At 58.2% G+C, this 24144-nt stretch overlaps 1 protein-coding gene across 12 annotated transcripts in view, besides 10 other annotated features; it reads left to right on the forward strand.

The window, feature by feature from the left end:
• Positions 980-1379: a silencer, noted in NCBI's record as "silent region_9571". NCBI's record gives its function as "represses an Ori minimal core promoter by ATAC-STARR-seq in GM12878 lymphoblastoid cells {active_cell/tissue: GM12878}" and the evidence as "EXISTENCE:reporter gene assay evidence [ECO:0000049][PMID:35858748]".
• Positions 1144-24144, forward strand: part of NFATC1 (nuclear factor of activated T cells 1) — a 133394-nt gene continuing 110393 nt past the window's right edge. For 5 of the 12 annotated variants that reach the window (NM_001278669.2, NM_006162.5, NM_001278670.2 and 2 more), the window contains exons 1-2: positions 1144-1565; positions 15617-16715. In NM_001278669.2, the coding sequence (NP_001265598.1) occupies positions 1439-1565; positions 15617-16715 (1226 nt within the window). In that variant the 5' untranslated portion in view covers positions 1144-1438. Of the gene's footprint in view, positions 1566-5512; positions 5694-15616; positions 16716-24144 lie in introns of those variants that run through there. The other 7 variants (NM_172387.3, NM_172389.3, NM_001278672.2 and 4 more) reach the window with 3 other exon arrangements.
• Positions 1536-2083: an enhancer, noted in NCBI's record as "H3K27ac-H3K4me1 hESC enhancer chr18:77156322-77156869 (GRCh37/hg19 assembly coordinates)". NCBI's record gives its function as "activates a minimal SCP1, AML or CMV promoter by ChIP-STARR-seq in naive H9 embryonic stem cells {active_cell/tissue: H9 hESC(naive)}" and the evidence as "EXISTENCE:reporter gene assay evidence [ECO:0000049][PMID:30033119]".
• Positions 1740-1839: a silencer, noted in NCBI's record as "silent region_9572". NCBI's record gives its function as "represses an Ori minimal core promoter by ATAC-STARR-seq in GM12878 lymphoblastoid cells {active_cell/tissue: GM12878}" and the evidence as "EXISTENCE:reporter gene assay evidence [ECO:0000049][PMID:35858748]".
• Positions 4882-5081: a silencer, noted in NCBI's record as "silent region_9573". NCBI's record gives its function as "represses an Ori minimal core promoter by ATAC-STARR-seq in GM12878 lymphoblastoid cells {active_cell/tissue: GM12878}" and the evidence as "EXISTENCE:reporter gene assay evidence [ECO:0000049][PMID:35858748]".
• Positions 5502-5741: a silencer, noted in NCBI's record as "silent region_9574". NCBI's record gives its function as "represses an Ori minimal core promoter by ATAC-STARR-seq in GM12878 lymphoblastoid cells {active_cell/tissue: GM12878}" and the evidence as "EXISTENCE:reporter gene assay evidence [ECO:0000049][PMID:35858748]".
• Positions 10051-10110: an enhancer, noted in NCBI's record as "active region_13539". NCBI's record gives its function as "activates an Ori minimal core promoter by ATAC-STARR-seq in GM12878 lymphoblastoid cells {active_cell/tissue: GM12878}" and the evidence as "EXISTENCE:reporter gene assay evidence [ECO:0000049][PMID:35858748]".
• Positions 10232-10827: an enhancer, noted in NCBI's record as "H3K4me1 hESC enhancer chr18:77165018-77165613 (GRCh37/hg19 assembly coordinates)". NCBI's record gives its function as "activates a minimal SCP1, AML or CMV promoter by ChIP-STARR-seq in naive H9 embryonic stem cells {active_cell/tissue: H9 hESC(naive)}" and the evidence as "EXISTENCE:reporter gene assay evidence [ECO:0000049][PMID:30033119]".
• Positions 12018-12611: an enhancer, noted in NCBI's record as "H3K27ac hESC enhancer chr18:77166804-77167397 (GRCh37/hg19 assembly coordinates)". NCBI's record gives its function as "activates a minimal SCP1, AML or CMV promoter by ChIP-STARR-seq in primed H9 embryonic stem cells {active_cell/tissue: H9 hESC(primed)}" and the evidence as "EXISTENCE:reporter gene assay evidence [ECO:0000049][PMID:30033119]".
• Positions 12634-12795: a silencer, noted in NCBI's record as "fragment chr18:77167420-77167581 (GRCh37/hg19 assembly coordinates)". NCBI's record gives its function as "represses an EF-1alpha promoter that drives an FKBP-Casp9 reporter gene in an ReSE screen in phorbol 12-myristate 13-acetate-treated (for megakaryocytic differentiation) K562 erythroleukemia cells {active_cell/tissue: K562(+PMA)}" and the evidence as "EXISTENCE:reporter gene assay evidence [ECO:0000049][PMID:32094911]".
• Positions 16379-16894: an enhancer, noted in NCBI's record as "H3K27ac-H3K4me1 hESC enhancer chr18:77171165-77171680 (GRCh37/hg19 assembly coordinates)". NCBI's record gives its function as "activates a minimal SCP1, AML or CMV promoter by ChIP-STARR-seq in naive H9 embryonic stem cells {active_cell/tissue: H9 hESC(naive)}" and the evidence as "EXISTENCE:reporter gene assay evidence [ECO:0000049][PMID:30033119]".

The raw sequence follows: 24144 nt of genomic DNA on the forward strand, positions 1-24144 counted from the left end.
GGGAGGAGGCGCTTGTGGGGGGCACCCACGGGGCACAGTGATCCCTGGGGGTCTGCGGACCTCCTGGGCCCCGCAGCAGACACGAGTTTAGCCTTTGGGTTTAGTTTAAATCACATAAGGGTGTCGTGCAATCGATTTATGGTTTCTACACACCAGACACTTTAACCTCCAACCCCCCCCATCCAAAGCCAACAAGAAAATGCGGTGCCGTGTTGGCAGCTGAGCTGCGCCCGAAGAGACGCAGGGAGACGTAAGAGAGGAAAGTGTGAGTGGCCGGGGGGCCTCCCCCCGTCAGAAGTCGCGCAGTCGCGCCCATAAAACGCCCCCTCCGGGCGGCTAGGGCAGGTGAGCGCGTCCCCGGGCCTCCCCACGCCGGCCCCTGCCACAGGCCGTCTAGGTCGAGCAGATATTTACAGAATAAAAATGACAATAACTCGACGTCCCGGGACGGCCACGCAATCTGTTAGTAATTTAGCGGGATGGGAATTTCCTTTCTAGGGCCTGCCAGTGAAGCGCTTTTCCAAATTTCCACAGCGGGGGAAGCCTGCGATTTTACATAATGACTTCAGCATGCCGGGCTTTCTCGACACCCCTCCCCGGCCCCCGGCCCCCGCCCCCCGCCCCTTTTCCAGCAGGGCCGGGCTCCCTCCGGACACCCGCGTGGACTCAGGCGTCCCGTCTGGCCCGTTCGCCCCCGTTTCCCCCGCCAGCCCCAGCGCCCCCCTGCCCGGCCCCCGGATTCCCCGTTCCCGCCCCTACGCCCCCATCCCCTCCCCGTGCGCCCCTCCCCGTGCGCCCCCCTCCCCGTGCGCCCCCCCTCCCCGTGCGCCCCCCTCCCCGTGCGCCCCCCCTCCCCGGGCGCCCCCCTCCCCGGGCGCCCCCCCTCCCCGTGCGCCCCCCCCTCCCCGTGCGCCCCCCCTCCCCGTGCGCGCCCCGCCTCTTGCGCCCCTGCCCCCAGGCGAGCGGCTGCCGCGGCGCGGGGAGGGGCGGGCGCTCGGCGACTCGTCCCCGGGGCCCCGCGCGGGCCCGGGCAGCAGGGGCGTGATGTCACGGCAGGGAGGGGGCGCGGGAGCCGCCGGGCCGGCGGGGAGGCGGGGGAGGTGTTTTCCAGCTTTAAAAAGGCAGGAGGCAGAGCGCGGCCCTGCGTCAGAGCGAGACTCAGAGGCTCCGAACTCGCCGGCGGAGTCGCCGCGCCAGATCCCAGCAGCAGGGCGCGGGCACCGGGGCGCGGGCAGGGCTCGGAGCCACCGCGCAGGTCCTAGGGCCGCGGCCGGGCCCCGCCACGCGCGCACACGCCCCTCGATGACTTTCCTCCGGGGCGCGCGGCGCTGAGCCCGGGGCGAGGGCTGTCTTCCCGGAGACCCGACCCCGGCAGCGCGGGGCGGCCGCTTCTCCTGTGCCTCCGCCCGCCGCTCCACTCCCCGCCGCCGCCGCGCGGATGCCAAGCACCAGCTTTCCAGTCCCTTCCAAGTTTCCACTTGGCCCTGCGGCTGCGGTCTTCGGGAGAGGAGAAACTTTGGGGCCCGCGCCGCGCGCCGGCGGCACCATGAAGTCAGCGGAGGAAGGTAAGCCCCGCGCGGCCTCCGCCCCCGGACCCCTGCGCCCCCCACGGCCCGGGCCGCGCCCCCCGACCCCGCCCCCGTCGCCCGCACGGAGGGGTCCGGGCCAGAGAACGAGGTCGGCCGGGTCTGTGCGCCCAGGGAGGGGCGCGGCGCGGACCGGGAACGGCGTCCCCCAGCTCCCAGCAGCCCGGTTCCGAGCGCGCCTTCTGCCAATAGGTGTCTCCTCTGCCCCAGCGCTGAGGGCGCGAGGCGAGGCCGCCGCGGGTCCCGCCGAGGAAGCGGCTCGCAGGCCGGCGATTTGGGGACGGGCGAGGCTGGGCCGTCAGGACCACAGAGGGCACGTGGGAGGGAGGAAGGGAGGCTTCCTTGGGAGTGAAGGATGCCCCGTGTCTTCCTGAGCGAGGCAGAGCCACCCTCTGGCGCCAAGATCGCGGTTTGGGGGTTCTGCGCCCCCCACCCCCACCCCGAGCTCGTGGCGGCGTCTCCCTCGCGCCGCGCCCCTGAATTCCCCAGGGCCGAGCCCGTCACGCCGGCTCCTGGACCTGCAGGACCAAAAGATCCAAAGCGCGGCCGCAGCACAGCCCCGAATTTAAGCCATTTTGAAATCCTATAGGCAGGAGTTCCAGCCAGAGAAGATGTTTCAGGCAAGTTTGAAAAGGAACCGCCAAGTTTCGAGCTGCTTCTTTATAGTGAAAAAAAGATGGCACAGTGTGGGTCCCTGAAACCCGGTGTGGGGGGCGCTGAGACCCCCCTGCGGCGCATCTCACATTCCAGTCCCCCACCTTAGCCCGTCCCCGGCACACACCCCTGGCGATGCCGGGTGGGCTCCTGCAAGTGGCTTTGAAAATACCCTTGCAGAGGTGTGAGCATACGAGTTAGGGATTAGGGATTGCAATGCTAATGGAAATTGGAAGACGCTTTTCCAAATTCCTTACCAGCTCTGAAATATTTTATATAATTTATTTAAAGAGCGCCAGCACACCTGCCAACATATGTACTTCATAAGGGCAGACGTCCTTCCGAGCGCTGCCGCTTCCTGCGCGACCCTGATAACTGCGGGGCTTGCTTGAGAACCGGGCTCCCCCAGCTCTGGAAAACTCGCTGGTCTTAGCAGAGCTGAGCACAGGGCCGTGAGCTCCACGGAGGGGGGTCCGTGTGGTCGGTGCCCTGACGCTTCACGGGACGGGAGGTAGACACCACTTCATCCCAATGTTAGAAAATGTTGACATGTTTAAACCATGTCCCGTGTCAGTGTTTTACACAATGTGCTCTTGCTAGTAGCAGAGTTTAAAAAATTTTTTTTTGTTGGAGTTTCGGTTTTAAATCCTGGGACACTTACGCCGCAGTGTTCATTATCACTCCCTTTAGAAAGGCAGGTCTTTCCAAGTTCAGATCTCTGTACCTGAAGAGCCGGTGGCCGACCTGTAGTAAGGAGCCCCTTTCTTTTACGCAAGGAAAAAACACGACGGGGCAGTGGCTAGTTTTCGTGTTTCCTACTGAAGAAAATAAGCTCGAAAAGGTCCCTGCTGCAAGGCAGTGCGCCGGGCAGCGACGCCCGACCGACATGGGTGTATTTTATGAGGGCTGCAGAACTGGGCCAGCCGGAAAGTGTGATCTAGTCCTTGATACACACAGGCCGGCAGCATGGGGACACGCGTGGTTTCCACACCAGCCATCGCTGAGACCACCGGGAAGAACTCTGAGTCCTTCTGAGTAGGCCCCACGAGGCCATTCCTGGCCCATCTGAGGACCTGGGCGCCTCCCCTGCGTCCCTCGGGTTTCGGGACCATCTGGGTGGAAGCTCATTAGGCGTCGTGGTTCCTGAAGGCCCCGGGCTTGCTTCCTCATGGAGAACGCAGAGAAGTACAGGCCTGTAAGTAGCCACCCAGTCAGAAGTCGCTCCAGACACAATGCCCCACGGGCTGGGGCCAAACAAAGCTCACCCTGTTCTCTGCCACTTAACTTCACAGCGTTGTTTCCCAGCTCAGATTAGAAAATGGCAGGGCGCTGGCACCCCGCTTCATCACACCCAGCGGGGCTTCTGTCTCCGCAGACATCCCCAGCCTCTGGGAGGATGCGTCCAAGCTAAACATTTCCATGGAGACACCCAGTGTCTGTGGAACGGGCAGCTTTGAATCTGGACCAATAGCTCTGAACCATTTGCAGGAAGGAAGCCCAGCACTGGGGCGGGGGAAGGGGGGGCTCCTAGGAGCAGCAGGGGAGCCGCCCCACCGACCCCTTCTCTGGGATGGAGACCAGTGCAGTCCTAGGACAGCAGCAGTGAGCCTCCATCCCTGCAGGGCCCGCGGCCTGGGGCCACCAGCAGGCGGGACAGTTTAGCAAAAAGTTTTAGTCTAAACAGATGATAAGGGCTGTCATTTGTGTATAATTTTATGGTGGGGGTAAAAAGGTGGCTGGAGTTTTAAAAACAATGTACAGGCCGGGCGCCGCGGCTCACGCCTGTAATCCCAGCACTTTGGGAGGCCGAGGCAAGCGGATCACGAGGTCAAGAGATCGAGACCATCCTGGTCAACATGGTGAAACCCCGTCTCTACTAAAACTACAAAAATTAGCTGAGAGTGGTGGCGGGTGCCTGTAGTCCCAGCTACTCTGGAGGCTGAGGCAGGAGAATCGCTTGAACTCGGAAGGCGGAGGTTGCAGTGAGCAGAGATTGCACCACTGCACTCCAGCCTGGGTGACAGAGCGAGACTCCGTCTCAAACAAACAAAAACCTGTACAATGGAAAGAGAATGAAACGTTGTGGCTTCTCAACAGAAAACAGAACTTCCACTTGCCCAAGGTCGGCAAAAGCAGCAAAACTACAACAAAACAACGCTCCAACATCCATCCCAAAGTCAGAAGTATTATTAGAAACTAAATCAGGCCACACGGAACGATGGCTTATCACTGGAGAAAACCAGCCAGTGAAAGGGTCGCGGGAGAAGCCCGGGGACGACCCTGGGACTGGAGGGTTTCTCGCCTCTGGAAAAGGCAGTGCCCGCGGGGCAGGCCAGAGGGAGCGCTCCGAGGAGCTTTGGGGTTGCCAGCCTTGACACGCGCACCCCTCCGCCCGGGCCGGCTCCCCTCCGCCCTCAGACTCCCACCATCCTCCTACTATTCCACATGTCGGGTGTATATGGTGCGGAGAGCCCGGGGGAAGTTAGAACACGCGGCGGGAGAGGCAGGCCCAGGGCGGCCTCAGCTAAGCAGCCCGGCTTTCCGGATCCCCGCCGCGCACAGGCTCGGGCCGCCTAGGGTGGGACCCGAACTCGCCTTCCCGCCCCGCTCAAGGAGGTCATCTTTGGAGGTGCCCCTAGAAGGACCGGCGGGTTTCCCGCGGGGCGGGGGCGCGCAGGGCGGGTGTTTGGAGGCTGGGGACTCGCAGGAGAGGCCGGTGGGTGCCGGGCCTCCTGCAGGGGGTTGCAGGCCGAGGGGCGCGCCACGAACCCAGCGGGAATCCCTGCGCTTCCCGGCACCGTCGGGCTGAAATCGGGGTTCCTAGCGTTGGCGGCCTCGGGCTGGGACCTCCCCACTCCCGGGGCTCCGCAGGGCGCGCACGTGGCGCTCGGGGGTCACCGTTGCAGCCGCTTTCCCGAGGAGGCCCGGATTGAAAACTTCTTTAAAAAAAAAACTTAAAAAAAAAATTCCGTCGCCCTGGGCGCAGCCTTAGGTACCTGGTGCCGCTCGTGGGGTCCCGACGCCCCTACCCCCGGGTCCGGAGGAGCCTGCGCCGGGCCGGGACCCCCAGGGCACAAGAGGCCGGGGGACCCCTGCGGTCGCGCGCGCGCGAGGGGGCGGGGGCGGGGGGGACACGAGTTTATTTAAAAACTCGTGTCCGGGGAGTTTATTTAAAACTCGGAAGCCGGCGGCCGCGAGCCGGTTGTTTATGTAAACCCGGAAACGCCCCGGGGGGCGGGGGCGGGGCGGGGACGGGGGGAGGGGCGGGGGTCACGTTACGCGGAGGACGCGCGGGCAGCGCCGGGAGAACCGAACCCCTGGCGGCCGCGACCCCGGCTCCCGCCCCGGCCCCGGCCCGACCCGCCATGACGGGGCTGGAGGACCAGGAGTTCGACTTCGAGTTCCTCTTCGAGTTTAACCAGCGCGACGAGGGCGCCGCCGCGGCCGCCCCAGGTGGGTCAGTCCCGGAGGGCGCGGGGGGCGCGGGGCCAGGTCGGGGTTTGGGGGCGCCCAGGCCCCCTCCGCGTCCTCGTCGCTCCCCGGGGACCCCAGGAGTCCCCGGCGCGCCCGGGACCGAGGGGCTACGGCGGGGGACGCTGCAGTGCGGGGCGTCCTGGGCTCGGATGCGGTTCCTCCGAGCGCTCGCGGCGGGGTCCTGGGGGAAGAGCGCAGCCCGGACACGGGCGTGGACGAAGTGGTCCCGGACAGAGGGCTGGTGGCGCTGCCAGAGGCGGAGAAGCCCCAGCTCCCCCAGACACCCTCTCCCCGCCCCGCGTCCCGCCCTCCCGACCTCCCCGACCCCCCGACCCCCCCCCCACCCGCCCCCCGACCTCCGCCTCAGCCATCCTCCTCCCTCCCCCCAGCCACCCTCCCCCTGACCTCCCGCCCCTGCCGCCGCCTTCTGGCCCTTCCTCCCCACAGTCACCCTCCCTCCCCGCCGCCGTCTCCCCACGCCCCGCAGACCCCCCCAAGCCTCCAGCTTTCAAGTTTACCCGGAGCTACCATGACCCCAGCCTTTTCTTTCATTTTCTCTTCTCTGTGTCAGAAATAAGGGTTTCAGGTAAACAAACCACAAATAACTCCCCACTCCCGAAGAGCAGCGAGTGAGTGGGGTGGGCACCCCTGGGCCTGGGCCCCTCTCCCGCTGCCCGGGATCTCTTCTGTCCAGGTCACCCCAGGCTGGTCACCGTCCGCCCCTGTCTGTGCCCATTCTCAAGGCCTCGTGTCTGCCCTCCCCGCGCGGAGGTGAAGCCGGAGGAGCTTGGCAAGCAGGGACCTCCGCCGAGTCTGTAATGAGGGTCATATTTTCCGTATCGTTCACTACTCTCTTTTAAAAACTCCAACGTCTTGATCATTTTTTGAAAATAAGCGCTCCAACCAAACCTGTGCTGCCTGCGGTTCTCGACTCACCACTCCCCAAATGTCTTCCCTGCCTGGGCCTGGGTTCTAGGTCTTTGGGGTCAGTGGGAGCCAAGGCAGATGAGGGTGGGAGAGAGACCCGCCGGAGGCCCTTCCCACCCGGGCTGCCTGTGGCCCTGGCGCCGCCTTCCAGAGCTGGTTCCAGTCCTCCCCGGCTTGAGCCAGGACATTTCAGCAGAAGAGTTTTCTACCTGGGTGTGCCATGCGAGAGTGTCGCCCCACTCCCGACCTCTCTTTATGGGGTGAAAGTCGGTCCCATGAGAGTGTGGCCACCAGGGTGGCCCCTCTGGGATCTGTTGGGGTGGAGGCTCCCACACCCGTGCAGTCATCGGGGGTCGGGTGGGACCTCCCAGTACACCCCCGGTCGTTCACAGCGTGAATCACTGACTGTGGGCCTGCGACAGGCCCAGTGCTGCCAGAACCCAGGCCCTACACCCCAGTCAGAGGCCCAGGGGGCCTGCAGGACAGTGTACGGCCCTGGGCCCTCGGCCCTGGCTGAAGATTTCACTGCTTTGCCTCCTTGAAGAAGCACAGGGGGTAGTTATCCCCATGGAGCTGGGTCTCCCCGGCCTCCCAGGCCTCCAGGGTGGGCTGTGCCACACTGGGCACTGTGTCTGGCTTGGCACGTGGTCAGCGCACCCCCAGTGACAAGGGCCACTTCCGTGCCTCCGTGCACACGTGACTGTGCGCGACAGCAGCCTCGGGAAGGACACCGCCGGCGGCGGCATCCTCCTGTGACTGCACAGGTAACTCCAGGCTTATCCGGGAAGACGCACAGGAGGCCAGTCTCTGCCCCTCGAGGCCTAGTCTCACAAGGACGCCACAGTTTATACACCATTTTGAGGTGGGCGGGCTTCCTGCTGGCATCGGATATGGGGACCCTGGTGAACATGGGGTCTCTCCTGACCCAGAAGCAGGTGGCCGCCTTCCAGGTGGGTTCAGGACACAGTCCTCCCCGGCACCCACCGGGCTCATTCCCCCAAAACACTCCTTGAGCAGAATGAGTGAAGCCGTGAACCTCACCCTCGCAGGCACCCTGGGCCCTCCGGAGCTGCGCCCTTCCCCGGGAGCCCCGCAGAGCTGGGCTGCTGGCTCTCCAGGCGGCTTGTGAAAGCTTTCTGCTGTGTCCTTGCCCCTCCAGAGACCACCGTGGTTTTGGGCTTTAGGAGTTGGGGCTCCGAGCAGGAGAGGCGAGAGCTGAGAAGAGCCCCTTCCTGCTTTTACGGTGTCAAGAAGTTGCTAGGAAGGGTTCTTTATGTATCTCATATGTTACGTGTACATATTGTGTTTTCCCGTGAGACACCGTGCTGTTTTCTCCTTTCTTTTTATTACCATTATTACTGCATTTTGATGATGATTCAATGGTGTTAATTATTTATATCACATTGTTAAATGATTACATTGACTCTCCAGCTTTTGACGGGTGATAGAAACTACTTCACGTTGTTTCTGGGATGAACCTGGATATAAATGAATACATGAATAAGTCTGAGATCAATTGCAAAGCAAGGCAAACTGGGTTTTATAGATTAGACTAAGCACAGAAAGTCAAGCTTTGTTGTAAAGGACGTGGCCGGCCCTGAGCCCAGGAGGCAGTCTGTCAGCCGGATCCCCTGAGAAGGGGCTGTACGTCCTGGCAGAGCTGAGGTCAGTGTACCGGGGTTGGGGGCTGCAGCCGCAGGGTGGCTGACTGTGGCCAGGAGCCTGGCCCACGCCGCTGTGGCCCCCACCCCTTCCATCTCGCTGGACTTAGGTCCAGGCTGCGGGCACAGGTCCCGCGTCTTCACGGGGTGCTTTGAGGGAGGGGCTGTGTCTTGTTCTTTATTTCGAAAGTGCTCAGCAGGTGCAAAGAATAGATATTCAGTAACCATTTGTTGGGACAATGAAAAGAGAATATTGTAAATAATTTCCCAGGCGGGATGGGAGTGGCGTTTGGGCTTCCAGGGTCTGGCTTCTGGCTGTGTCCACCCAGGAGCAGGCCCCGGGCTTCCCTCTGCAGAGAGGAGGTCCCGCTCCCTTCTGGGGCTCAGGAAATAGCTGCTTCGCTGTCAGCTGGGAGGCGGGCGTGCCCTGCTTCCCGCCCCAGGGCTCCTGTTTTCTAAGTTATTTTGGCCAGCTTGGCTGCTGCCAGCACTGTCGCCGTGGCAACTCAGAGGAAATTGGCCAAGGCCTCTGTGTTTGGGCTGGAGCCTCTCTGGCAGTCGGGGCCACCCTCCGAACCTCTGTGTGCCCGGGTCTGCCACTGGCCTGTGCCCACTGCTGGGGCATTTAATGGTTCCCTTGTGGAAAGGCAACATCTTATGCAGAATTGAAGCTTTGGAAGACTTTTATTCTCAAGTCCATTTTCACCAAATAGGATTTCTCTTCCCCAAGAGGGCCCGGGGTGTCCGTGGCTGGTCGGGGGCTGTGGCAGGAAACCCGTGGCAGAGACGCCTGGTGAGCAGAGAGGTCCCAGGGGAGAGCTGAATTAGGAATGCTCTGTTGTTCAAGTTCAGTGTTTTAGGAAAGCGTTCCTGCTATTACCATGCACAGCTCATCCCCTGACGTTCTAGAGGTGTTTCCGTGGAGGGTGGAGTTACCTGGCAGATTGGAATATTTCAGTTCTGTGTCGTGTTTTTCAAAGGAAGATCTCAGCTAGCCATGAACAACTTGGATATTTTTTAATTCCTTGAAAACAGAATTCAAAAAGGATGCTTTAAAATGATGTGTGCGTCGGACCAGGGGGAATATTCCAGTACCTCTGAGGAACGATGTCCCAGGTTGGGCCCCGGGCTGGACGAAGGACCCTTATTAAGGCGTTGGCGTGCTTATTTATGGAACATTAAATACCGTTTGTTTGCGCTGTGACGAGGCCATCCTATTTGCCTTTGTAAATCTTTCTCGCTGGCAGATTGTTGGGGGAACGGCGTCTGGGAAGCTGTTGCTGTCTGTCATGCCGCGGGCCTGACCACGTCCCGGTGCCACTGTGAGGCAGCGTTTCCCAGGCCTGCTAAGCACATTGCTTCCAACAGCAAGGTCTTGGCGTGGATCGCCCTGCTTCGTTTTGTTTTATTTCCAATACATTCACAGTTGTCATCTGGCCTCACCCACAGCAGACTCCGTGGCTGTCTGGAGAGGTGACAGCAGTGCCTGGGGGTCGACCTGTGGTTCAGCCCCAGCAAGTGCTGAAGGGAATGTTCCTTAAAATGAAAAATAACGTCGTCTGTGATGGCCGCCTCTCAGAGTTTGTGAAAGATGAGAGATCTGGCTGTGGCTGGAGTTGGTGATTCTTGTCAGCAGTGCTGGCCTGATGCGCAAGGCAGAGGCGTGGCTGTCCTGCCCTGCGCACAGCGAGTGAGGGAGTGGCTGTCTGGGAACTGCGTGTCGTGAGGGGCAGGTGCCCTGGGGCTCAGCACGGCGGGGTCTGCAAGGTTAGAATGCTGTGCACCTGTAGGGAGCCCTGACCAGAAGTATTTCATGTATTAATTTAATGTCAGGCACCGATACAGTTTTTTGTGGTTGTTCAGAAACGAGAAAGGTGTGTGGTTCTGAAGTGAATTATTTCTCAGAGTGAGAGAGATCGCTTTTAACAGCTCTGACATGTGGAACTTGCTGAGGCCAGTGGGACTAGGCTGGCCTGAGAGCCGGGTGCTCCCCGCGTGGCCGTCTGTCCTAGCACCCCCAAACCACCTGTGTGTCGTGGGGCACCTGATGGCTGAGCGAGCCGGTGAGGATCAGGGGACTCAAAAGTGAGGAGGTGGCACTTTCAGCAGAGGGGCCATGCCATGACCTTCCGTTAAGGGATTTTGAATGTGCTCTCCGCGATCATTGCTTAGAATCCAGCTGTCTCCCTGCTCACCTGCACTGTCATTTAGTGAATCCTCCTTGGCAAAGAGCCAGGCCCTCCGACACGGCAGCCAGGGAGTGGGGTCACCGAGCTCTGTGGTGGTGTCTGACGTGACATGAATCAGCCCAAGCGCCTCAGAATCGTCAAGAAAGTTACTGGGAATATTTTCCCTTCATGTAAATATGATCCCTTTGAATAGTTAAATAACTCAGATTTGAATACGGTTTAGGTGGGTCATGAAACCAAATTCATTGGGAGCTGGGAGGGAGGGGCTCACAGCCAGGACAGTGGCCCCCGGCGTGTGGGGCTTGGCCTCTGGGGGCAGCTTGACCCCACACCTTGCCCTTCTTCTAGGAGGAACAAGGGAACTTTATCCACTACCCGCCCTCCAAGGACCTGGGCGAGGGATCCTAATGAAATTCAAGCATTTGAGCTTTCGTTTTGTCATTTGTTTGATCAGGGAAAACGCATGCTTAGGTGAGCCCTTTTTGTTTTTTAATAAAGCTTTATGGTGTTTCTTTGCCTCATCGAATCAGGTTTTATTGCAATACTTCAGTTTAAATAAAGGCCCTCGGGTGCCCCAGGCGTCCGTGGGCCTCTGCATGCACTTCCTGCTCTCGCTGTGGGCGGAGTCTCCTCCTCTTCCTCACTTCCCCTCACGCCTGGGCCCCCGTCACAGAAACGTCAAGGGCTACGGCCCCTGAGGACTTGCACACAGAGACCTGTGAGGTCCGCCTCCCCTTTCCTGCCCCGTTTCATCTAGAACCTTCCGGTGATCTGGCTCTAGTACCCCGTGTGGCGCAGCTCTGGGCTCCGTCACTGGCTGAGCAGCCAGTTCAGGGCTGAGTCCTGTGGGAGGATGGTGGGGAGGCCCCAAGACTTGCTCTGTTAATTGCTAGGGTTTTAAAAAATTCTTCAGAATTACCTTTCTACCAGCAAATGGTAGTTCAGCTGTGGGATCAGCTGTCTTGGAAATAAATACTCTTTTGATTGGGAAACAGGAAGTGTAGGAATCTGTACATGAATCAATTGCAGTTAAGCCCCCTTTGAGGTCTGGACAGTGAGGGGAAGTGTGTGGAGCAGGTGGGGCCTGAAGAGCCGGTTGAAGGCCACGGATGCCTCCGAGAGGAAGTCGGGGTGTGGGAGGGAGGCTGGGCCCCCGTGATCGGATCCACGCTGCCATCGTGTTCCCTCAGTTCCGCTGCTGTGCTTTCGGGTCTCCTGGAGTTGATGACTGGTGTGAGATGGAAGCTGGTTCCTAACATAATGTTGTTTCTGCTCCAACAGGCGAGAGGGCTTCTAGACAAATAAGCGGGCCCAGCAGTAAGTGTGGGTGTGAGTTCCTGGGCCGGTGTATGTAATGTGGCGTTTTTGGCTAAGGAATATCTTTTGGACAACTTTTGGTGAGAATGCAGAGTAATGAACAGGTGGCTCGGCGTGGCACCTCAACGGGAACCCCCCAGGAGCCGCAGGCCTGCGCTCGACAAAACCCCCTCGTGGGTCCCCCACCGCGCCTTCCTTCTGTCCACCGTTGGACTGCGTCCCTGTGCTTCCCCCGAGACCCCCAGCCGCAGAGCCAGCCACGGCTCCGCGGGTCTTCCGCAGCGCTCCATGCGGGGCAGACGTCAGGGCTGGCCTGGCACGGTCACCCAGGCGTGTGGGGCGTGGGGCACAGGGCGACCTGCCTGTGTGGCCTGTTGTCCAGCGGGTCTGATGCAGCCGGCTCAGGGGCTTTGCACGGGCCACGGAGGGGCCACCGTGACGCCCAGGCGGAGCTCTCAGAGGGCTACAGTTTGCCTGGCCCAGAGCCCCCCAGGTATCACCAGCAGATCAGAGGACTTCAGATTCTCCTCGGAAACCTCACCTTCTCCCGGAAGCTGCTTTCCAGGCTCATTTTTAGAAAGTTGGTCACAGAAGTTTTAGCGTTGGGGCCTGGTGTTTGCCTGAAGCATCCAGTGAGCATGGAGCCTGGGGGCGGGGGGCACAGTGGATGCCAGTGAACATGGGTGGTCAGTCCCAGAGCTGGCGTCTTGCAGCTGGGGCAGATCCTGGGGATGGTGTGTGTGTCCTGACCAGAGGCCAGGCTGGAGGCTGGAATTGGCGTCAGGATGCCCAGCTCCAGCTCCACCCCAGTCCCTGCCTGTGGCTCTGGGGAAAGAAAGACCTCCTTATTGATTTATTGATTTATTGATTTGACAGGGTCTTGCTGTGTCGCCCAGGCTGGAGTGCAGGCTGGAGTGATCTCAGCTCACTGCAACCTCTGCCTCCTGGGCTCAAGCAATCCTGCTGCCTCAGCCTCCCAAGTAGCTGGGACTACAGGCGTGCGCCACCATGCCTGGCTACTTGTATTTTTTGTAGAGATAGGGTTTCATCATGTTGCCCAGATTGGTCTTGAACTTCTGACCTCAGATGATCCGCCCACCTCGGCCTCCCAAAGTGCTGGGATTATAGGCGTGAGCCACCGCGCCTGGCCACCTCCTTGATTTATTGACATTACTGTTCTCTCTCCGGTGCAGGAGACTGCGTGGCTCCCGTCCTCTTGAGGGCATTTCTTTACGATGGGGAAGGCGGGACTGGGGCCTGGCTAGCACCATCCCCAAGGCGCTCAGCCTCAGCGGAGGGGCCCTTCCCATACGAAGACATCCTGAGCAGGTCTCACCTCCCACCCCTGAGAGCTTCTGGTCGCACCTGTGAGGTGTGGCTCCATCGCAGCTCTGTTTCTTTTCTCTTTGTTATGGCTCTGCCCCCTGAGTGTCTGGAATTTCCAGAAAGCAGCTGTGACTCCTGGGATTGAGGCCACGGTGTGTCCTCTTACCAGGCTGCCGTGCCGTGTTTCCCACCTACCTGGGGCGCTAGAACCATTTCTGTTAGTAAATACAGTGGGTTTGTATTGGTATTTTGAGACCCTAGATTTTTTTGGCATTTATCCGTGTTGGTTTCTGAACCACGACTTAGCGGAAAGACAGCACTGTCCTTGAATAAAGTATCTTCCAGCCAGTGCAGTTGCACCAGGAGATGAATATAGAATTTCCATGTGCTTGTTTGTATTATTTAGAGGCCTGGGAATACCCACCTCTAGGCATGTAATCATGAGGTTCCAAGATGTCATAAAAAGTCTTTTCAAATCAGAAATCCAGAGGCACGTCTTTCCTGTTAAAATTACTGATTTCCCTAATAATGATTTTAAAAAATATTTTATTGAGTGTAATTAACACATAATGATTCTTAGGACTAGCTGTGTACCAGAATCTTCTGTTTTGTTCTAAAAGATGGATTCGTAGGATATGAGCCAGTATCAGAATCTCCATGAGGGGGATTTCACAGTCTGTGTTTTCATCCAATCCTTGAGGAGTTTTCTTTGTAGCTGGTGATTAGGGCACCTTGACAGTGATAAGCCTGTTAAAATCTGTTTACATATGTAGGTCCTTAGATCTAAAACACATCCACCATCCATCATCATCCATCCATCATCAAACCATTACTCCTCCATTCCCTATGCATCCATGCATCATCATCTGTCCATTATTCCTCCATTCCCTATCCATTCATTCATCATCCATCCATCCATCATCCATCCATCCATCATCAAACCATTATTCCTCCATTCCCTATCCATCCATCCATCATCCATCCATCATCATCCATCCATTATTCCTCCATTCCCTATCCATTCATTCATCATCCATCCATCCATCATCATCCATCCATCATCAAACCATTATTCCTCCATTCCCTATCCATCCGTCCATCCATCATCCATCCATCATCATCCATCCATTATTCCTCCATTCCCTATCCATTCATTCATCATCCATCCATCCATCATCATCCATCCATCCATCAAACCATTATTCCTCCATTCCCTATCCATCCATCCGTCATCCATCTATCCATCATCATCCATCCATCATCAAACCATTGTTCCTCCATTCCCTATCCATCCATTCATCCATCATCCATCATCCATCCATTATTCCTCCATTCCCTATCCATCCATCTATCATCCATCCATCATTATCTATCCATCATCCATCCATTCCTCCATTCCCTATCCATTCATTCATCCATCCATCCATCCATCCATCATCATTCATCCATCCATCCATCATCCATCCATTATTCCTCCATTCCTCGTCCATCCATCCATCCATCACCATCCATTTATCTATCCATCCATTCATCCACCATTTACCTATCATGCCTCCATCCCCAATGCATCATTCATCCATCCATCCGTTTAGCTGTCCATCCATCCATCATCCATCCATTCATCCACCCACCCATAATCCATCTCTTTATCCCTCATTCCTCCCTTGTTTGTCCATCACCATCCATCTACCTACTCTCCATCTACCCATCATCCCTTCACCCCCCGTCCATCATGATCCATCCATCAGTTTCTTTACCTGTCTATCCATCATCCATTGTCCACCCACCCACCAACCATCCATCCATTAAACAAATTGAACACATTTTATGTGCCAGGCACAGTCTTTGGCTCTGAAAACAGCGGTGAGCAGAATAGACTAAGGCGTCCAGATGTTCTGTCTTCATGGAACTTAGGTTTCTGTTTGTCAAAGAGATGACAGTGTGGGATGAATGAGTAAAAACAGGCTGTTAGATTGTGATACGTATTTAGGAGAAAAAATAAACTAGAGAAGGATGGCCCACGTGTTGAGTTTGGGGTTTAAATGAAGATGGGGTGGTTGAGGAAGGTGGTTTTTGAATGAAGAGCGGAACCCGTGAGGACCCAGTCGCCTCTCTCTGGGAAGGACGTTCGGATGAAGATGGGGTGGTTGGGGAAGGTGGTTTTTGAATGAAGAGCGGAACCCGTGAGGACCCGGCCGCCTCTCCCTGGGAAGGACGTTCGGGGGCTTGTGCTGCTGTTAGGGGAGGAGGGGAGGTGGGCAGTGAGGGGCTCACGGGAGCCTTGTTGGCCAGGTGGGACTGGGGCTGTCACTCCAAGTCGCCCGGAGCTGTCCGGCAGCGTGGTCTCAGGGACGTTTGCTGAGGCCCGCTCCTTGGGGTCCGTTGGTCGAGGCCGGGGGTTGCTGGCCGGCCCTGAGTTCATGGGTTTCTGCTTTGTGATGCCCAGCCCCTCATGCTCCCATCTGCTTCTTTTTCTCTCTAGAACACTATGGCTATGCATCCTCCAACGTCAGCCCCGCCCTGCCGCTCCCCACGGCGCACTCCACCCTGCCGGCCCCGTGCCACAACCTTCAGACCTCCACACCGGGCATCATCCCGCCGGCGGATCACCCCTCGGGGTACGGAGCAGCTTTGGACGGTGGGCCCGCGGGCTACTTCCTCTCCTCCGGCCACACCAGGCCTGATGGGGCCCCTGCCCTGGAGAGTCCTCGCATCGAGATAACCTCGTGCTTGGGCCTGTACCACAACAATAACCAGTTTTTCCACGATGTGGAGGTGGAAGACGTCCTCCCTAGCTCCAAACGGTCCCCCTCCACGGCCACGCTGAGTCTGCCCAGCCTGGAGGCCTACAGAGACCCCTCGTGCCTGAGCCCGGCCAGCAGCCTGTCCTCCCGGAGCTGCAACTCAGAGGCCTCCTCCTACGAGTCCAACTACTCGTACCCGTACGCGTCCCCCCAGACGTCGCCATGGCAGTCTCCCTGCGTGTCTCCCAAGACCACGGACCCCGAGGAGGGCTTTCCCCGCGGGCTGGGGGCCTGCACACTGCTGGGTTCCCCGCGGCACTCCCCCTCCACCTCGCCCCGCGCCAGCGTCACTGAGGAGAGCTGGCTGGGTGCCCGCTCCTCCAGACCCGCGTCCCCTTGCAACAAGAGGAAGTACAGCCTCAACGGCCGGCAGCCGCCCTACTCACCCCACCACTCGCCCACGCCGTCCCCGCACGGCTCCCCGCGGGTCAGCGTGACCGACGACTCGTGGTTGGGCAACACCACCCAGTACACCAGCTCGGCCATCGTGGCCGCCATCAACGCGCTGACCACCGACAGCAGCCTGGACCTGGGAGATGGCGTCCCTGTCAAGTCCCGCAAGACCACCCTGGAGCAGCCGCCCTCAGTGGCGCTCAAGGTGGAGCCCGTCGGGGAGGACCTGGGCAGCCCCCCGCCCCCGGCCGACTTCGCGCCCGAAGACTACTCCTCTTTCCAGCACATCAGGAAGGGCGGCTTCTGCGACCAGTACCTGGCGGTGCCGCAGCACCCCTACCAGTGGGCGAAGCCCAAGCCCCTGTCCCCTACGTCCTACATGAGGTGAGCCGGCAGCGCGGGGCGGGACGGGGAGGCGAGGGGAGGCGCGGGGCGGGGCGGAACGCGGGGAGCGGGACGGGGGGCGGCGCGGGGCGGCCGTGTCTGGGGACGAGAGTCAGGACCTGGGTGGGCAGGTGGGCTCCTCGTGGAGCTGGGAGGCAGAGTCTGTCCCCATGTCTGCCTCCTCATGCAGACTTTTCCTTGTGCGCCTCGCCTCTGCCTCCGTCTGCGCGTTTCCCATCTGAAGTCTCCAGATCCTCTCGGGCCCTGCTGATGGCCTCGTGTTCGCTCAGTCTCTGCAAACACCCATTTCAAAGAGGGTGGCCCTGCTGGCGGTCAGGGCTTCCACGTGGGAATTCCGGGAGACGCCATCCGCCCCTAAGGAGGGCTCACACACGCGCAGTTTCTTCCTCGGGGAATTGCACGTGCCTGGCCCCCCTCGGTGGTTGCCTGCTGCTCCCGCTTCCTCCCCTGCAGTAATTGCCTTCCCTGCCTCGGGTGCAGATGGGACCGCAGCTCAACAGTGCCCCAGAGCACCCAGTCCGCCACGCTTTGGAACAGCACGGCCTCCTGCTCCCCAGAGACGCCGGCTGTGGCATCAGGCTGGGGGAGCTCACGCGCCTTCCTTCTTTGGGTCCCAGGTTGTTGGTTTTTCTTTTTAACCGTGTGAGGGGCTGCTGGAATTCCGCTGGGTCCACTTAACCAGCTTGGTGTTTTTATCTCTAACGAAACAGCTTTCCCAGCTGGTGGGCTGTGAGTGGCCCCTGAGAGTGCTTTCTGCTCTGGGATTTTTATCTGAGGCATGAAAACGTCCGTGCAGGAGGTCGAGGGCAGTGCCCCATGGCCCGTGACGTCAGGGCTGCCGCTGTGTCCTCAGGAAGAGGCGTTTGCCACGCGCAGCCCGGGGTATTCCAGGCTGGGTGTTTTCCTGTTTTTGTTTTTTTTTTTTTTTCGTCCCTCCCCACCCCCCACTCCTTTTTTATTAGCGAGCACTCAGGGGGCGAGACCCCGCAGAGCGGAGGGCAGGTGCAGCCCCCATGCCTGCAGGGTGAGGAAGGCAGGCAGTGAGGGTGCTCTGGGAGGACCCGTCTCTGCTCTGCAGTCTCAGGCCATGCTTCAGCCATGGCTGGAGCACGCATGGACAGAATTAGAGCTACAAGCAGTAACAAGCCTCCAGGCTGGGAACGAACCCACCCAAACCTCTCTGAAGGCTTGTGGCAAAGAAACAGTGTTAGAGCTGACAGTTCTTTGAGCAGCCCCATGGCTGATTCTGCCTTTCTACTGGCGTGATACTTAGAATCGTCGTCAGCTGAGGTTTCGAGAGAAAGCAAGGATTACCCCTGATTTTTCTTGACTTGCAGTGGGCGCATTTACCTTTCTATCCCAACTTCTGTTTTTAATACATTAAGGTTTAAAAGGCTGGCGTATTCTAGGTGATCACAACGAGCCTGTGTCAGGACCCGGATTGTATTTACAATAAAAATCCCATTCAGTTGGAGGCATTGGGAAAATTTAAGAACTGTTTTTGCCTGCTGTACTATCACTGTTATTGTTTAAGTAAAAGTACAAGCGTAGTGGCACTGACTCTCCAGCCCACAGTCATGTACAACGCGCTTCATGGTCTCCAGGCTTACGGACGGTGACAAAGTCGTCCATCACCGCGGAACTTCACTGAACTGGCGAGATAAGGGAAGAGTGATGTCATCAAGGTCCCAAGACTGGGACTTGGCATGAGGAGTGTCGTAATGCAGTTGTGAACCTTTGGGTGAACCCCACGTATTTGTTTCCTGGGGCTGCCCTGACAAGGTCCCGCAGACGGGTGGCCTTCATAGCAGGAAGGTTTTCTCGCGGGGTCCTGAGACTGGAAGCCGAGATCAGGGGCTGTTCTTTTGGAGGCTGTGAGGGAGCATCTGCCTGACCTGTCTCCCTGGCTTGGAGGCGCCGTCTTCTCCCCATGACTCCTCATCTCTCCATCCACCGTGCATGTCTGTGTCCAGATGTCCCCTTTTGTGAGGACACTGGTCCTGCTGGGTTGGGGCCACCCTGGTGGCCTCATTTGAACTTGATCGCTCTGTAAAGACCCTCTCTCCAGACACAGCCCCACGCTGGGCAGGACTCCATTATGTGAGTTTGCGGGGAGCACCGTTCGGCTGCCTCAGCCCCGGTCTTACTGTCGCAGTAAAAATGGCAGGCAGCCTTTGAAAGCGCAAGCTCGTCCTGGTTCCTTCTTCGTCTCCTGGGCGGCAAGGTGTCCGCAGGGATGTCGTGTTCTGGCAGGCACAGCCCCTCCTGTCCACCTTGGACCTGTGTTTGGTGTGGAGGTTGGAAAGCATGGGTGGCTGTTTATTTTTTCCTCTGCTTGGGGGTTTCAGGAAGAATTCCGTGCCCACGTGACCCTGTTAGCTTTATCTCCTGGCTGCAGAGCGCCCAGTTAGGTGTGATGCCTGTAACATTTCTGAGTGTTCACACAAACAAAGCTCAGTAAATATGTCCCAAACTCGCTCCTGGGGTTTGCAGTTAACCTTTTCCCACTGTTCTGGTTCCACATCAAAATATGTTTCCTGGTTCCTTGTGCCCTGTTTCCAAGTGACCTCGTCAGCGGGTGCCCTGGGGCAGCTGGAAGCCACGGCAGAGATGAAATGTTAGTTTTTTACCAGCGAGGTGGAGAGGCCAGACTTCCTTCCCCAGGAATGCCTCTCCGTCGGTCACATGCAGCAGCTCTGGCAGGCGTGGAAAATGTCACCAGGATCTCAGGCTGCACAACTAGAAAGCTGTATTTTTAATGATCTCCAAAGTTTGGGATGGAGAATGCACGACATGCCCATCTTCTCCCCACCGTGGTACAGAACTGCTGCTCCATTAATCCTGTCCCTATGCCAGAAGGAGCTTTCTGGTGGAAAGTGTGCTGTGTGCATCCTTCCCAGGGACCGTCTAGGATTGTTGTCCTTTGAGGCCTTTTGTTGCTTGTTCAGCACCTGTGGCCCCCAGTGCTATGCAGAGCCTCTGAGAGGCCCACAATGGTCAAAGAACGATACTGAATTCTTGCTGCAATTGAAGCCATGATAATGTTTGTGAAGTTAGTAAGAGTAGGTGATAGAACCTTGATAGTTTTAGAGTTTGGAGCCATTTTAGAGCTCAGCGGAATGATGTGTCTATTGTCAAAGCTTGGGGGGACTGGCACAGGAATCACAGGCCACCTGCTATACCCCCTAAAAATTAGAATCTTAAGCTGTGAATTCTGGCATCAGAAAGGAGTGGTTTTCTTCCCGCCTTGCTTCTTTCCAGGGGTAATGACGGTGATCATAGCAAGTGGCCTCCCAGGGCACCTTTCCGTGTGCTGTTGAGGGTGCAACAGGAGGCGTTGCCGGGCTGCGTCTGGAGGAGGCCAGGGCGAGAGTGCACGTTGAAGGCTGTGCGGGTTATTTATAAATAGTGGTTCTCAAATGGTAGCTTTTAAAGATTTCATATTGACCGACAGGAACTAAAGTCTACGTGATTGCTTCCTCATTCCTTCATCGTTCGGCCTCCTCCACCTGGGCACCTGCCACAGGCCATGTGCGTCCATGTCCAGGTCTGTCTGTGCCGACATCTGCTCTTTGGGCATCAGCCTCTGGAAAGTGTCCCTGTCAGAGTCTCCACGTGTCTCACTCTCCGCACCCAGACAGTCTCTGGAGTTGCCTTTGTAGAGGCAAGGTTGTAGGGGAATTGGAAAGGCGGAGGTATTTTGACTGAATTTATTGGTAACTTTAACAGCACAATTCTTGAATTCAATTTCTTTTTATTTTATTTATTTATTTTTTTTGAGATGGAGTCTCGCTCTGTCACCCAGACTGGAGTGCAGTGGCACAATCTCGGCTCACTGCAAGCTTTGCCTCCTGGGTTCACGCCATTCTCCTGACTCAGCCTCCCAAGTAGCTGGGCCTACAGGCGCCCACCACCGCGCCCGGCTATTTTTTTGTATTTTTAGTAGAGATGGGGTTTCACCATGTTAGCCAGGATGGTCTCGATCTCCTGACCTCGTGATCCACCCGCCTCGGCCTCCCAAAGTGCTGGGATTACAGGCATGAGCCACCGCGCCCAGCCCTTGAATTCAATTTCTACACATGAAACATTGCCTCTTAGAACTGAATGTTTAAAAAGAATTTCTAAGGAGTGAGGTAAAGAAAAAGAATTCCTAAGGGGCGAGATAGGCTAATAAACAATGTTTACTTAGAGTCCGCTTGGTTTCAATGATCAGAAATAGCCGCTAGGTTGGTGCAATAACGTATATTCAAATCTCTTGGCCAGGCGCAGTGGCTCACGCCTGTAATCCCAGCACTTTGGGAGGCCGAGGCAGGTGGATCAGCTGAGGTCAGGAGTTCAAGACCAGCCTGGCCAAATTGGCGAAACCCCATCTCTATTAAAAGTACACAAATTAGCTGGGCATGGTGGCGGGCGCCTGTAATCCCAGCTACTCAGAAGGCTGAGGCAGGCGAATCATTTGAACCCAGGAGGCGGAGGTTGCAGTGAGCTGAGGTCGTGCCACTGCACTCCAGCCTGGGCGAGAGGAGCGAGACTCCGTCTCCAAACAAACAAAAAAACCCTGTTTATTTCAGACATTAAGTTTTGGGCTGCAATATTGAAGATTTTAGCATATCGGTCACTTTTCTGCTATGCATAGTATTAGTTTCAAAAGGTCTGAGAAAACGTTCACTCTCTTGTGTTTCATAAGTTATCTGAAAGTTTCACAGTTTATCACAATTTGGAATAAGATCAGCTAACCCCCAGCACAGTAACAGGTGGACTCTGTCTTCTCTTTCGCAGACACGAGTCCTCTGCCAGGCTCAGTAGCGATTCCTCCTGCGTTTGAATGCCCTTTGCTCTTGTGGCTCTGGTACCTGAGGGGTTCGGGCCCCGGCAGTGTTGGGGGAACAGTGCAGGCTTTTGACAGCTCCCAGGTCCTGTAGTGGGGCCATCTCTGGGCTCTGGAGCCAGACTGTCCGCGGGCGCTGGTGGGCCCTTTGGGGTGATGGTGAACATAGTCTCTAAGGCGTTGTACCGAACCCCAGCATAGCGAGACGTGTAAGGTGGTAGCCGTGGGGTCTTCCCCGAGCTTCCCGCTGCCATCACCTCCTGGGAAGACGGATAGCAAAGAAGCCGAGGGTGTCGAGTTGCCCCATGGTTTGTAAAACACTGGCATGGGCTGGAACGGCTCAGGACTGACTGCCACTGCGTCTCCCTGTAAGCCCCTCCCTTTCTGGGGAGGGAAGCCCCCCAACAACCCACAGCCAGCCTCGAAGCCACGTCGCCCTGGCTCTGGTTCCCGCTAACCCTTGCTGGGGAGTCCCCCGCACAACCTGTCCTGCTGTTTCCTGCTGTTTCTGGAGCTAGACAAGCCTCAGCTGGCCTCCTGGCTCCCGGCATGGGTGTCAGGCCCTGGGGAGTCTCCAGTCCCTCCTGTGGGTACTGGGCTGGGCTGGCTCTGAAGGGTCTTGAAGAACGTGGCTGTGTGCCTCCCTGGCATTCGCGGTGGTGGCTCTGGAGCTTGCGTTTGGCTGAGCAGGCCAGCAGGTGACTCGCGCAAGCCAGACGGTCCCCAGGAAGCCCTCAGCTGTGGTGGGAGATGGGAGATGGGCTATGGTGGGAGATGGGCTGTGGCGGGAGATGGGCTGTGGCGGGAGATGGGCTGTGGCGGGAGATGGGCTGTGGTGGGAGATGGGAGATGGGCTGTGGTGGGAGATGGGAGATGGGCTGTGGTGGGAGATGGGCTGTGGTGGGAGATGGGAGATGGGCTGTGGTGGGAGATGGGCTGTGGTGGGAGATGGGAGATGGGCTGTGGTGGGAGATGGGAGATCGGCTGTGGTGGGAGATGGGAGATGGGCTGGGCAGGAGATGGGCTGTGGTGGGAGATGGGAGATGGGCTGTGGTGGGAGATGGGCTGTGGTGGGAGATGGGAGATGGGCTGTGGTGGGAGATGGGAGATGGGCTGTGGTGGGAGATGGGAGATCGGCTGTGGTGGGAGATGGGAGATGGGCTGGGCAGGAGATGGGCTGTGGTGGGAGATGGGAGATGGGCTGTGGTGGGAGATGGGCTGTGGTGGGAGATGGGAGATGGGCTGTGGTGGGAGATGGGCTGTGGTGGGAGATGGGAGATGGGCTGTGGTGGGAGATGGGAGATCGGCTGTGGTGGGAGATGGGAGATGGGCTGGGCAGGAGATGGGCTGTGGTGGGAGATGGGAGATGGGCTGTGGTGGGAGATGGGAGATGGGCTGTGGTGGGAGATGGGCTGTGGTGGGAGATGGGAGATGGGCTGTGGTGGGAGATGGGCTGTGGTGGGAGATGGGAGATGGGCTGTGGTGGGAGATGGGAGATCGGCTGTGGTGGGAGATGGGAGATGGGCTGGGCAGGAGATGGGCTGTGGTGGGAGATGGGAGATGGGCTGTGGTGGGAGATGGGAGATGGGCTATACCAGGAGATGGGCTGTGGCGGGAGATGGGCTATGGCTGGGCCTGTCCTCTGTGGTGCTGTGGATGCGTCCTATTCAGGAGCTGCCTACCAAGTTTCATTGCGATGTTGGAATCTGTCCTTGGTCCCTGCCACCATGGGGTGGGTGGAGCCCCCAGCACCCTGCCTTCTTCCTCCCCTTCCTGTGGGTCTGCAGGGCTCGGGGTGTTGATGGAGACTGTGGGGGTCGGGGGAGCCAGCAGTTTCGTTGTGTGATGGCAGGAAGAATCCGCGTGCTGCCCCACCATGCCTTGCGACGCTCTGTGGTAGGGAGCTGTCGGGTCACAGTCAGGCGCTTAACGGCCACCCGACTGTGGACGCAGCTGAGGCCATTTGTCCAGGGTGGCCTAGTCACAACCAACAGAACTGGACTCTGCCATGATGAGCAGACCCCGCAACCTACACTCCAGACTCCACCGGTGCTGGGACCCCGACTCCCAGGAGACCTGGCGAGCTCAGCCCTCTTGTCACAAGGCCTGTACGGGGTGGGGGCACGTGTCACGGGGACCCTCGGCCCAGACTGGCCTTCTGCTCTCGTCACCAAGATGTGGAGCCTTCTGGGGTCAGAGCCCAGTCGAGGGGCTTTACGCAGCCTGTGGTGTCCTTGGAGCCACAGCTCCCTGGAGAAGGCACTGCGTCTGCCAGCCTCCGCTGGTGAGGGGCTCAGAGTTGAGAAGATCATGCCTCCTGATTGCACGAGCACCCTGGTCTTGGCTCATTTGCTCCTTCTTGAGCCGCTTCGGTAGCATTTGGCAGCCCACGGTTTTCTGCCTGCGTTGTTTAGTTTGTTTCTGCTGTTATGGAGTTCACAGCTGACACTTGGAGGGCGGGGTTTGCAACACCAGTTTCTGATGGGAAGGACTGGTGTGAGGGTGTGAGGAGGCTGCGGAGGCCGAGGGCCTGTGCGTTCTCCCAGGCGTGTGTGGAAGGGCTGGGGCATCTTCTCCCTG

This window comes from Homo sapiens, chromosome 18, assembly GCF_000001405.40.
Source record: "Homo sapiens chromosome 18, GRCh38.p14 Primary Assembly".
NCBI classification, from domain to species: Eukaryota; Metazoa; Chordata; class Mammalia; order Primates; family Hominidae; genus Homo; species Homo sapiens.